Here is a 12,628-nt window from a genome sequence, read left to right as displayed (position 1 = left end):
GAAAGCTATCTGGAAGATAATTGATTAAGATGGCTACACTAAACAGATTTGCAATGAAGACAAAACAGCATTCTACTAGAAGGAGATGCCATCCAGGATGTTCCCAGCTAGAGAGGAGTTGATGCCTGGATTTAAGGCTTCAAAGGACATGCTGACTCTTTTGTTAAGGCCTAATGCAGTTGGTGATGTTAACATGAAACCAATGATGATTTACTATTCTGAAAATCCAAGGGCCCTGAAGAATTATGATAAAACACAGCTCTGCCTGTACTCTACAAATGGGAACAAAGCCTGGATGACAGACTATCGGTTTACAAATACGGTTTACTGAATATCTTAAGCCCACTGTCGACAACTACCGCTCAAGAAATAAGATTCCTTTCAAAGTATTACCACTCACTGACAATGCCGCTGGTACTCAAGGGCTTTTACAGAGATGTATAAAGAGCTGAATATTGTTTTCATGCCTACTAACCCAACATTCATTCTGGTGCCCTTGGATCAAAGAATAATTTCAACTTTCAAGTCTTATCACTTAAAAAATATATTTCATAAAGCTATAGCTTCTCTAGCAAGTGATTCCTTTGATGGATCTGGGCAAAATAATTGAAAACCTACTGGAAAGGATTCACCATTCTAGACGCCATTGAGAACATTCATGATTTAAAAAAGAAGATCAAAATAGCAACATTAGGAGAAGTTGGGGCTGGGCTTGGTGGCTCACGCCTGTAATCCCAGCACTTTGGGAGGCCAAGGCACGTGGATCATGAGGTCAGGAATTTGAGACCAGCCTGGCCAACATAGTGAAATCCTGTCTATACTATAAACAACAAAAAAATTAGCTGGGCCTGGTCGGGGGTGACTGTAATCCCAAACACTTGGGAGGCTGAGGCAGGAGAATTGCTTGAACACGGGAGGTGGAGGTTGCAGTGAGCTGAGATCGCATCACTGCACTCCAGCCCAGGCAAGACTTCATCTCAAAAAAATAAAAGAGAGAGAGAAAAGTTGGGAAGATTATTCCAACCCTCACTGATGACACAGGGGTTCACCACTTCTGTGGAGGAAGTAACTGCAGATATGGTGGAAATAACAAGAGCACTAGAATCAGAGACAGAGCCTGAAGATCTGGCGAGACTGCAGCATCCTCTGGAGAAAACGTGAGAGGATGAGTTGCTCCCACGGATGAGCAAAGAAAGTGGTTTCTTGAGATGAAATCTACTAGTGGTGAAGACAGTGTAAACAATGTTGAGATGACAACAGATTTAGAATAAACTTGGTACAGCAGAAGGAAGGCTTGACAGGATTGAACCCAATGATTTACAATAATACATAAACTTAGTTGGTACTGCAGTACGAAGGTTTGACAGCATTGAATCCAATTTTGAAAGTTCTACTGTGGGTAAAAAGCTATCATCGTATGCTACAGATAATTCTTTTGTGAAAGGGAGAGTCAATTGACACAGCAAACTTCAATGTTGTCTTTTTTTAAGAAATTGCGACAGCCACCCCAGCGCTCAGCAACCACCACCTTACATTAAGGTAAGACCCTCCATCAGCAAGAAGACTGAAACTTGGCCAGGTGCAGTGGCTCACACCTGTCATCCCAACACCTTGGGAGGCCAAGGTGGGTGGATTGCTTGAGCCCAGGACATCAAGGCAACATGGCAAAACCACATCTCTACAAAAAAAAATACAAAAATTAGCTGGACACGGTGGCATGCACCTGTAGTCCCAGCTAGTCAGGAGTCTGAGGTGGGGGTTTGATTGAGCATGAGGTTGAGGCTGCAATTACTCCAGCCTGAGCCACAGAGTAAAACCCTGTCACACACACAAAAAAAGATTGCAGCTTTCTGAAGGCTCAGATGACTGTTAGCACTTGTTAACAATAAAGTATTTGTAAATTAAAGTGTGCATACTTTGTAGACATATGCTATTGCACACTTTATACAGCACAGTATAAACATACTTTTACATGCACTAGGAAACCAAAAGAAATTGTATAAAACTTTATTGCAGTGGTCTGGAACCAAACCCACATATATCTCTGATGCATGGCCGTCCTGTATTGTACACTTAAAAAAGTACTTAAGAGGGTATATTTTATGTGAAATGGTCATCTCATTTTTTTTTTTTTGAGACGGAGTCACACTCTGTTGCCCAGGCTGGAGTGCAGTGGCACGATCTCGGCTCACTGCAAGCTCTGCCTCCCGAGTTCACACCATTATCCTGCCTCAGTCTCCCGAGTAGCTGGGACTACAGGTGCCCGCCATCACGCATGGCTAATTTTCTGTATTTTTAGTAGAAATGGGGTTTCACTGTGTTAGCCAGGATGATCTTGATCTCCTGACCTCGTGATCCACCTGCCTTGGCCTCCCAAATTGCTGGGATTACAGGCATGAGCCGCCACTCCCGGTCTCATTTTTTAAAAAGGGTGAGAATGAGAAATATATGGGGAGTGATGGTCAAGTTTACGGCATTATTTGTTGTGATGAGTCCTGGGGCGAATACTTATCTCTATACTCATTAAGATGTATATATTCGGTGTCACACGCCTGTAATCCCAGCACTTTGGGAGGCCGAGGCAGGTGGATCATCTGAGGTCAGGAGTTCGAGACCAGCCTGGCCAACATGGTGAAACCCTGTCTCTACTAAAAAAATACAAAAATTAGCCAGGCGTGGGGGCGCACGCCTGTGATCCCAGCTACTGAGGAGGCTGAGGCAGGAGAATTGCTTGAACCCGGGAGGCGGAGGTTGCAGTTAGCTGAGATCGTGTCACTGCACTCCAGCCTGGACAACAAGAGTAAAACCTCCGTAACACACACAAACACACACACACACACACACACACACACACACGGTATATATTAAATATGTGTAATTTTTGTGTGTCAACCACACCTTAGCTTTATTTTATTTTATTTTTTTGAGACAGAGTCTTGCTCTGTCACCCAGGCTGGAGTCCAGTGGCGCATTCTCAGCTCACTACAAGCTCCACCTCCCAGGTTCACACCATTCTCCTGCCTCAACTTCCAGAGTAGCTGGAACTACAGGCACCCGCCACCACGCCCAGCTAATTTTTTGTATTTTTAGTAGAGATGGCGTTTCACTGTGTTAGCCCGGATGGTTTCGATCTCCTGACGTGATCTGCCTGCCTCAGCTTCCCAAAGTGCTGCTATTACAGGTGTGAGCCACCGCGCCCAGACAATTTTTATTTTTTTGAGACAGAGCCTCACTCTGTCACCCAGGCTGGAGTGCAGTGGCACTATCTTGGCTCACTGCAACCTCTGCTTCCCATGTTCAAGCAATTCTCCTGCCTCAGTCTCCCGAGTAGCTGGGAATACAGATGCATGCTATCAAGCCTGGCTAATTTTTTGATTTTTAATAGAGATGAAGTTTCACCATGTTGGCCAAGCTGGTCTCAAACTCCTGACCTCATGTGATCTGCCTACCTCAGCCTCCCAAAGTGCTGGGATTACAGGTGTAAGCCACTGCACCCGGCAATTTTTAAATACATATAATTAAAAATTAATAAAAAACAGGTATTTGCAAGTTTCTGTTTTGTTATATGCTTATTATTCTTTATCTTTATGTCAGGTTGCTGTGTCAATACACTTAGGAGATCATAGTTTCTAAATTGAAATACAAATAAATATGTCTGAAATTTTTTCTTTTTTCTTTTTTTTTGAGACGGACTCTCATTCTGTCACCCAGGCTGGAGTGCAGTGGTGCAATCTCAGCTCACTGCAACCTCCGCCTCCCAGATTCAAGTGATTCCCCTGCCTCAGCCTCCAGAGTAGCTGGGATTACAGGCACCCGCCATGACACGCAGCTAACTTTTATATATTTTTTTCTATTTTTAGTAAAGACAGGGTTTCACCATGTTGGCCAGGGTGGTCTCCAACTCCTGACCTCAGATGATCCTCCCGCCTCGACCTCCTCAAGTGCTGGGATTACAGGTGTGAGCCAGTGTGCCTGGCCTGGAATTTTTTTCTAAAATTTACATTTCTGAGTTAAGAATGCTTAAAATATTATAAAAACAGAAGCACAATTCATTATGTGTTTCATTAATTACCTTTATTAAAAACAACACAATTATATTACAATAGGACAAAAAATGTTTTAGCAAATGAAAACGAAACCATGACATACTCAAACTCTGGAGGAGGCAACAAAGGCAGTGCTAAAGGCAAGCTTACAGCTGCAGATGCTTAAATTAAAAAGAAGAAAGATCTCAAACCCATGCTAAAGGGAAGCTTACAGCTGCAGATCCTTAAATTAAAAAGAAGAAAGATCTCAAACCCGTGCTAAAGGGAAGCTTACAGCTGCAGATGCTTAAATTAAAAAGAAGAAAGATCTCAAACCCTTGCTAAAGGGAAGCTTATAGCTGCAGGTGCTTAAATTAAAAAGAAGAAAGATCTCAAATCAATAACCTAATATTACACCTGAAGGAGGAAAAAAAAAAACTAATGACAAACCAAGCAAAAGGAAGAAAATAACAGATTAGAGCAGAGATAAGCAGAATAAGACCAGAAAAAAAGGAAAAAAAACACTGAGTTTGTTTTTTTAAAGATCAATAAAAATTTTAAAACTCACAGCTATATTAAGAAAAAAAGAGAAATCTCAAATACTAAAATCATAAATAAAAGAGTTGACAATACAACAGATGCCACAGAAATGAAAAAGATTACAAGACACTAATGTGAGCAACCATATGCCACAAAACTGGGCAACCTAGAATAAATTTATAAATTCCTAGAAACACAAACCACCATACTGCATCACGGAGAAATAAAAAATCCAAAGAGACCTGTAACTAGTATGAAGATTCAACCAGTAATCAAAAACCCCACCAAAAAGAAAATTCCAGGTCCAGATAACTTCACTGGAAAATTTTACCAAACATTTCAAGAAGAATTAATGCCAATCCTCTGCAAAATATTCCAAAAATGTTCAAAAACCAGAAGGGGACATTCCAATCCATTCTATCAGGTCAACATTTATCTGGTTCCAGAGCCAGATGAACACCTTTTGTAATAAAAACACTCAAAGAATTAGTAATATATGGAAACTCCTCAGTAAATAAAGATTATACATGAAAAGCTCACAGCTAACATCATACTCAATCGTGAAAAACTAAAATCTTTTCCTCTAGGGTCAGGAATAAGATAGCAACTTCTCTTCCTGCCACTTCTATTCACCACAGCACTGGAATTTCTACTTAGAATAATTAGGCAAGAGAAAGTAATAAAAAGCATGCAAATTGGAAAGGAAAAAGTACAAAATTTTGTTCACAGACAACATGATGTAATGTGTAAAAATTCTGAAATTCCACAAAATACTGGTAGAATAATGAAATTCAACAAAGTTTCAGGATATAGTAACACACTCAAGTCAGTTGCATTTCTATAAACTAACAATGAACAATCTGCAAATAAAATTTTAAAAAGAGGCCAGGTGCAGTGGCTCACAGTTGTAATCCCAGCACTTTGGGAGGCCAAGGCGGGTGGACCACCTGAGGTCAGGAGTTCGTGACCAGCTGGGCCAACCCCATCTCTAATATAAATAGTAAAACTCTATCTCTATTAAAAATACAAAAATTAGCTGGGCATAGTGGCAGACACCTGTAGTCCCAGCTACTTGAGAGGCTGAGGCAGGAGAATTGCTTGAACTTGGAAGTTGGAGGTTGCAGTCAGCTGAGATTGTGCCACTGTGCTGCAGCTTAGGAAACAGAGTGAGACGCGGTCTCAAAAAAAAGAAAGAAAGGAAAGAAAGAGAGAGAAAGAAAAGAAAAGAAAGAGAAAACAAAAGAAATTTTTAAAAAGAATGACATTTGGCCGGGTGCGGTGGTTCATGCTAGCAATCCCAGCAGTTTGGGAGGCCGAGGCGGGCAGATCACCTGAGGTCACAAGTTCAAGACTAGCCTGGTCAACATGGAGAAACCCTGTCTCTACTAAAAATACCAAAAAGTTAGCTGGGCGTGGTGGCGTGCACCTGTGATCCCAGGTACTTGAGAGGCTGACGTTGGAGAATTGCTTGAATAAGGAAGGTGCAGGTTGCAGTGACCTGAGATAGTGCCACTGCACTCCAGCCTGGGAGACAGAGCAAGACTCCATCTCAAAAAAAAAAAAAATTACATTTACAACAGCATTAAAAAATTATAAATAAGCTTAACCAAGAGGGCAAAAGATTTGAACACAGAAAACTACAAAACACTGTTGAAAGAAATTAAACACAAATACATGAAAAGAAAAGCTGGGTTTGCAGATTAGATGATTTCATCTTGGAATGATGTCAACACTACTCGAAGTGACCTAGATTCATTACAATCCTTATAAAGATTCCAATGACATTTTTGATAAACAGAAAAACCTATCTTAAAACTCATATGGAATCTCCAGTGCCCATGAATAGGCAAATCGATCTTGAAACAGAACAAAATTAAAGGTCTCAAAACAATTACAAAACTGCAATAAGCCAAAAAAAAAATGTGGTCATGGCATAAAGACACTCTTGACACACTTATGGACCAACACAACAGAGACCTTAGAAACCAACCCTGGCATATATGGTCCAATGACCTTCCACAAGGATGCCAAGACCACTCAATGGTGAAGGACAGTTTCTGCAACAAATTGTGTTGGGAAAATTGTATATCTACATGCAAAACAGTGAAGTTGGACTCTTACCTTACACCACGTTAAAATTAATTCAAAGTGAATTATAAACCTAAATGTAAAACTAGAACTATCAAACTCCTAGGGAAAACAAATTTGGAAAATGCTTTATGATGATGAATTTGTCAATAATTTTTAGGATATGACATTAAAAGCTCAGGCAGTAAAAGCAAAAATATATCAAACCTAAAAACTTCTGTACCACAAAGGTCACAACCAACAGGGTAAAAGGCAAACTGTAGAATAAAAGAAAATACCAGTTGAGTGTCCCTTATTTGAAATGCTTGGGATGTGTTTCAGATTTTGTAATATTTGCACTATTCTTACTGGTTGAGCATCTCGAATTCAAACACCTGAGTCTGAGATGCTCCAATAAGCATTTCCTTTGAGTGTCATGTTGGCACTCAAAAAGTTTCAGACTTTGGAGCATTTGGGATTTCAGATTTTTGGATCGGAGACATTCAATCTATAGTTGCTCATCATGTATCTCATAAGAAGTGAACATACAGAATACGTAAAGAACTCCTACAGAGAGACTACCAGAAGCAGAGAGGAGCAAACACATTTTCACACTAGGGCACCTCCTATCTCTCCTGGATTCCAATTAGGGCAGAGTAAGTGCTAGTTCTCTGCCAACCTAGGATTAGGCCCTGCAGCTGCAGTGAAAATAATCACAGAAGAAAACTAAGAAATAAAAAATGGAGAAAGTGAGACATCAAACTAGAATTACTAGAATCCCCTAGGAAGAAGGAAAAAAAAAACAAAACAGAAAAACAATCAAACCAGATAATTAAACCTTGGTGTGACCAGAAGATCAGGGTTTCCTAAAGGAGTGGAAATTTATTGACTTGAAGACGATTTATTGATTACTGATTTGAAGAGGAAGAAAAACCATGAATGGTCTAAAGCAAAAGCCTAGTGTCTGAAGAAGTCAGTAGGGTGAAAACAAGAGCTGGCCAGAATGTCCACAGATGGTGACAAGTTTGCAAAGCCTTTACTAGACTACTTGTGAGGCTAACTAGAGGCCAAGGAGCCAACACTGCCCTTGTCCTTACAGAGAGACCCTACACAGGATTCCCAGATATACATGGAAGGACAACATCTTATCAGGTCCTCTCTGTGCAGATGTGGTTATCATTCCAAATAATGAGCTCCAGCCCCAAGACTGTTCCATCCTCAATTGCTTTGAGTGGGCAATGTAGGCTTTCCACACACGAGCTACATGTAGGTTCCTTGGGTACCCAGATGGGAGCCGTGAAACACAAACCTTCCATGGTCAGGTCCGTATCTGTTTCCTGCCTTTTCCCCAGCAATCCCCAGGCCTCAGCAGCAGTGGTCTACCTCTGCTGATTCTCATTCAGAATCTGAACTTAGAAACAATTAGAACCTAGACCCCAATTCTACCTGAAAGTAACAGAATAACATAATCTATACCCTGCAGCATGACTGTTTACCCAACGTAATGAGGATGAACTGAGAGATAATGAATGACCATGACCCTGGCCCAAGTAACAAGAATGAACTGTGAGATAAATGAATGATCATGACCAAAAAACCCCACTACAACACAACAACAAAATAAAGTGATTAAAAAATGGACAAAGAACATTTATCCAAAGATGCAAAGATGATATAAAAATAGCCAACAGATACATGAGATATATGAGAAGATGTGTAACATCACTAGTCATTAAAGAAATGCAAATAGAAACCACAATGGGACATCACTTCTAACCCAACAGAAAGTAACAAGTGCAGGTGAAACTGAAACCCTTGAACACTGTTGGTGGAAATATGAACTGGCTCCTCAAAAAAAACAAAATAAAATGACCATATGATCCAGCCATCCAACTTCTACAGAGACAGAATAACTAGTAGCAGGACCTCCAACAGATACTTCCACACCTATGTTCACAGGATCATTACACAGCCACAAGTGGAAGAAACCAAAACGTCCATCCAGGAATAGATGGATAAACAAAAGGATATATATATATATATAGAGAGAGAGAGAGAAATATATATATATATATATATGAAGAAATATTATTCAGCAATAGAAAGGAAGAAAATCCTGACACATCTGACACATAACATGGAACCTACTTACAAAACAACAAATATTATATAAACCTAGGTATATAAGCCAAAGTTTTAGAAACACAAAGTAGAATAGTACTTGCCAGGAGGTGGAAGGAACGGGAAATTAATAGTTGTTGAATGAGTATAGAGTTTTCCAAGATAAAAAAACATCTAGAAATCTGCTACACAACACTGTAAATATTCTTAACTCTACAAAACTGTACACTTACAACTGGTTATGATGGTAAATTTTAAGGTATGTGTTTGTTACCAAAATTCAAAATAATAAATTATTTATAAAAAATGATCTTTTTTGACACAGGATCTTACTCTGTTGCCCTGGCAGGAGTGCAATGGCATGATCACAGCTCATTGCAGCCTCAACCTCCCAGGCTCAAGCAACCCTCCCACCTGAGCCTCCCGAATAGTTGGGACTACAGATGCACACCAAGATGTCAGGCTAAAGTTTGGTTTGGTTTTTTTGTAGAGAGGGTTTTCCCATGTTGCCCAGGCTGGTCTCAAACTCCTGGGCTCAAGCAATCCACCTCCCTTGGACTCCCACAGAGCTGAGATTATGAGCATAAGCCAACATGCCCAGCCTATAAAAAATTATTTCAAAAAGCCAAAAGATTAATCAAACTGGAATATTTAGAAATATTTAACCCAAAAGAAGTTAGGAAAGAATATATAGAAGATCAAAACACAGACTAAGGCCAGGCATGGTGGCTCATGCCTGTAATATGAACAATTTGGGATGCCAAGGTGGGTAGGTTGCTTGAGCTCAGGAGTTCAAGATCAGCCTGTGCAACATGGCAAAACTCTATCTCTACAAAAAATATAAAAATTAGCCAGGTGTGTTGCCATGCACCTGTAGTCCCAGCTACTCAGGGGGCTCAAGTGAGGATTGGTTGGGCCTGGGAGGCAGAGGTTGCAGTGAGCCAAGATTGCACCATTGCACTACAGTCTGGGTGACAGAGTAAGACCCTGTCTTAAAAAAATAAACAAACAAATAGAAAATAAGTAGAAAAATGGCAGACCTAAATCCAACCTTAGCAATGATTAGTTACAATGTAACTGGACAAATACTCTACTTAAGACAGAGACTGCCAGACCTGAGAGGAAAGCAAGACCCAACAATATGGCATCCACAGAGACACAATTTAAACACAAAGACACAAACAAAGTATGAGAAAAAATATGCTATGCAGACACTAATCTTAAAAATATGCTATCCAGACACTAATCATAAAAAGCTTCAACAGAGATGTTAACACTAGATGAAAGAGGCTTCAGAGCAAAATATATCACCAGAAATAAACAGGGTAATTTAATAAAAATAAAATAATCAGAGAGGATGATGTTACAATTATAAATTGTGCCTCAAAGTGCACACAAATTACACACACACACAGAGCCTCAAAGTATGTGAATCAAAAACAACAGACAAAAGCAGGAAATTGACAATCCAAAATTATAGCTGGTGAATTAATAGTGCTCTCTCAGTAACTGATGGAAGAACCAGATAAAAATATAGGAAAAATATGGATCTAAATGACAAAATCCTGACCCAAATGGTACTTGGCAGTACCAAGATAAACTGTATGTCGATCGATTGAGAAAAGGTTCAAGCCTGAAATAGTATACAAAAGATGTTGTCTGAACACTCGAAATTAAATTAGAAACCAACAACAAATTGATATCCAGAAAAGCCTCAAATGTCTGAAAACCAAGTAATAAACTTTGAAATACCCTGTGAGTCAAAAAGTATTCAAAAGGGGAACTGGAATGTATTTGGAACAAACTTGTTATAAAAATGTCATTTCTGGTAGACTAAAGGTGACAACTTCTTTCCTGCTCCTCTCTCTGTGAGGACCAATTCCCCTTAAACCTTGACCAGACTACTGACTTATTTGGCCAACAGAAGGTGACAAAGGTGGTATTTGGGGACTTCAGAAGCCAGGCTGAGAAAACAGAACACTTATCCAGGAGAAAGCCAGTCACCAGGCAGGAAATCCCACTACCCTGAGACATGATGGAAACCACACTGCCAGTCCATGACTAGCTACATGCATTGACATCCCCCACTGAGCCTCCAGCAACACCGATTTCCAACAACTAGTGAGCCTCCAGCAACATCCACTCCCAACCACTAGTGAGCCACCCTGCACACCACCCCACTGTGCTTTCACACAATCCAGCTTGGCTGCAACTGTGTGTGAGATGAGCTGACCACCAAGACTCTCAAAGCCAAAAAACAAGTAATAATGAGTTGTTTTAAGCTGCCAAGTTTTGGGGATGGTTTCTTCAGAATAGAAAACTGGAACAGAATATGACCGCTGGAAATGAGCTGCTGTGGTAATCAGAAGCTACAATATGTGACACGACTGTGAGGCTGACCTGTAACTGGGCCTCAAGGAGACCATTCATGCAACCTGGAAGAGCATCAAGACTCTTGGTCAGGGCCTGAAGGATGGTGAGAAAATGTCATTGGAAACTGGAGAAAAGGCCTGAGAGTTACGTGCTGAGGGACTGTGGGAAAACTACGGCCACAACATGGAAACTGAAAGGGCACTGCACCATCTCAGGGATCTGCCTAAGGAGACATCTGGGAAGAACATGGAAAGTGCTACCAGCCTCCCCTAACTGTCACTGAATAAATATGACAGGAGAGGGACATGATCTAAACAAGGAGGTTCAGTTTTCAAACAGAATTTAGAGAAAATATAAAGAAATAATTTCTTGTCTCAAAAGGCCAAAGTAGAAAAAAGAAAGAAAAGAAAAGGAAAAAAAATGAAAAAGAAGCCATTGAATACCCTATTGACCATAAGAAAAAGGCAGGGAAACTTGGTCAAAGGCAACCCAGGCACTGAAGGAAAAAGGACACAAACACCATTCTCAGGGACCAGGACTGGGCGCCGTTCTCAGGGACCAGGACTGGGCACTAATCACAGAACTGTAACAGGCACCCCATGGGAATGACCAACTGTTAGACGGGGCCTGCAGGGCAGCACTTCCTTCTTGCCTCCCACCAACAGCTTCTAAAGGGAAATGCCGACTGTTTTCACACCAGTCCCCTCACTGCGGCTGAGTTTGTGGGCTCAGATGATAGGTCACCACAACCTGATTCAGTCCCCACTGTGGCTGTGTGTGGGGGGTCAGATGACAGGCCACCACAATCTGATTCAGTCCACACTGTTGCTGTGTCGGGGGGAGGGGCAGATGACAGGTCACCACAACCTGATTCAGTCCTCACTGCAGCTGTGTGTGTGTTGGTGCAGATGACAGGCCACCACAACCTGATTCAGGATTCAGTTGGGCTACCAGCCAGTGCCATAAGGAAAACCATTCTGGGGCTCTTGAGAGGGGCAAAGCATAATTTGCATGTAGCAGAAATGTTAATAGTTTGCGACCAGAGGACAAGCTGTGGTTTATTAAAGACTGCTGCAGGTTCCTACTATGCTTCTCATCAAGAGGTGGAATCTAATCACCTTCCGCCCTTGAATCATGGCTGGCCTCAGTGATGAGTGCGACTGGGCAGTGTGGCAGGAGAGATGCTCTGGGACTTCTGAGGGGCGATCATGAGAGGCCTTACAGATTCTGCCTGGGCCTCTGGGACACACACCCTGGGAGAAACCAGACAAACCTGACTACCTGACGCTGCCAGACTGGGAGGAAGTCCGTGCTGGCCACGAAGAGAGGGCTGGGTGCCTGTTCCATGTCCCCAGCCACTAGAGTCCTTCCAGATGAGACCAAGGACATCATGAAGCAACCAACCCACACCGCCCTGTCCAGTGTCTTGACCCAGAAAATTGTGACATGTAAAAAAATAAATTCCTGGTTTAAGCCAGTAAGGTTACTGGTACATTGTTACA

At 41.3% G+C, this 12,628-nt stretch overlaps 1 long non-coding RNA gene across 1 annotated transcript in view, besides 1 other annotated feature; it reads right to left on the bottom strand.

Moving 5' to 3' along the window:
* Positions 1-12,628, bottom strand: part of LINC01666 (long intergenic non-protein coding RNA 1666) — a 46,880-nt gene that overhangs the window by 15,082 nt on the left and 19,170 nt on the right. The window lies entirely within an intron of this gene.
* Positions 1,115-1,315: a silencer, noted in NCBI's record as "peak4329 fragment used in MPRA reporter construct". NCBI's record gives its function as "represses an SCP1 promoter by STARR-seq MPRAs in K562 erythroleukemia cells {active_cell/tissue: K562}" and the evidence as "EXISTENCE:reporter gene assay evidence [ECO:0000049][PMID:32103011]".

This window comes from Homo sapiens, chromosome 21 (assembly GCF_000001405.40).
Source record: "Homo sapiens chromosome 21, GRCh38.p14 Primary Assembly".
Classification (NCBI taxonomy): Eukaryota; Metazoa; Chordata; class Mammalia; order Primates; family Hominidae; genus Homo; species Homo sapiens.
Note: the sequence above shows the minus strand (reverse complement) of the source record. Positions and strands in the feature narration are given on the sequence as shown.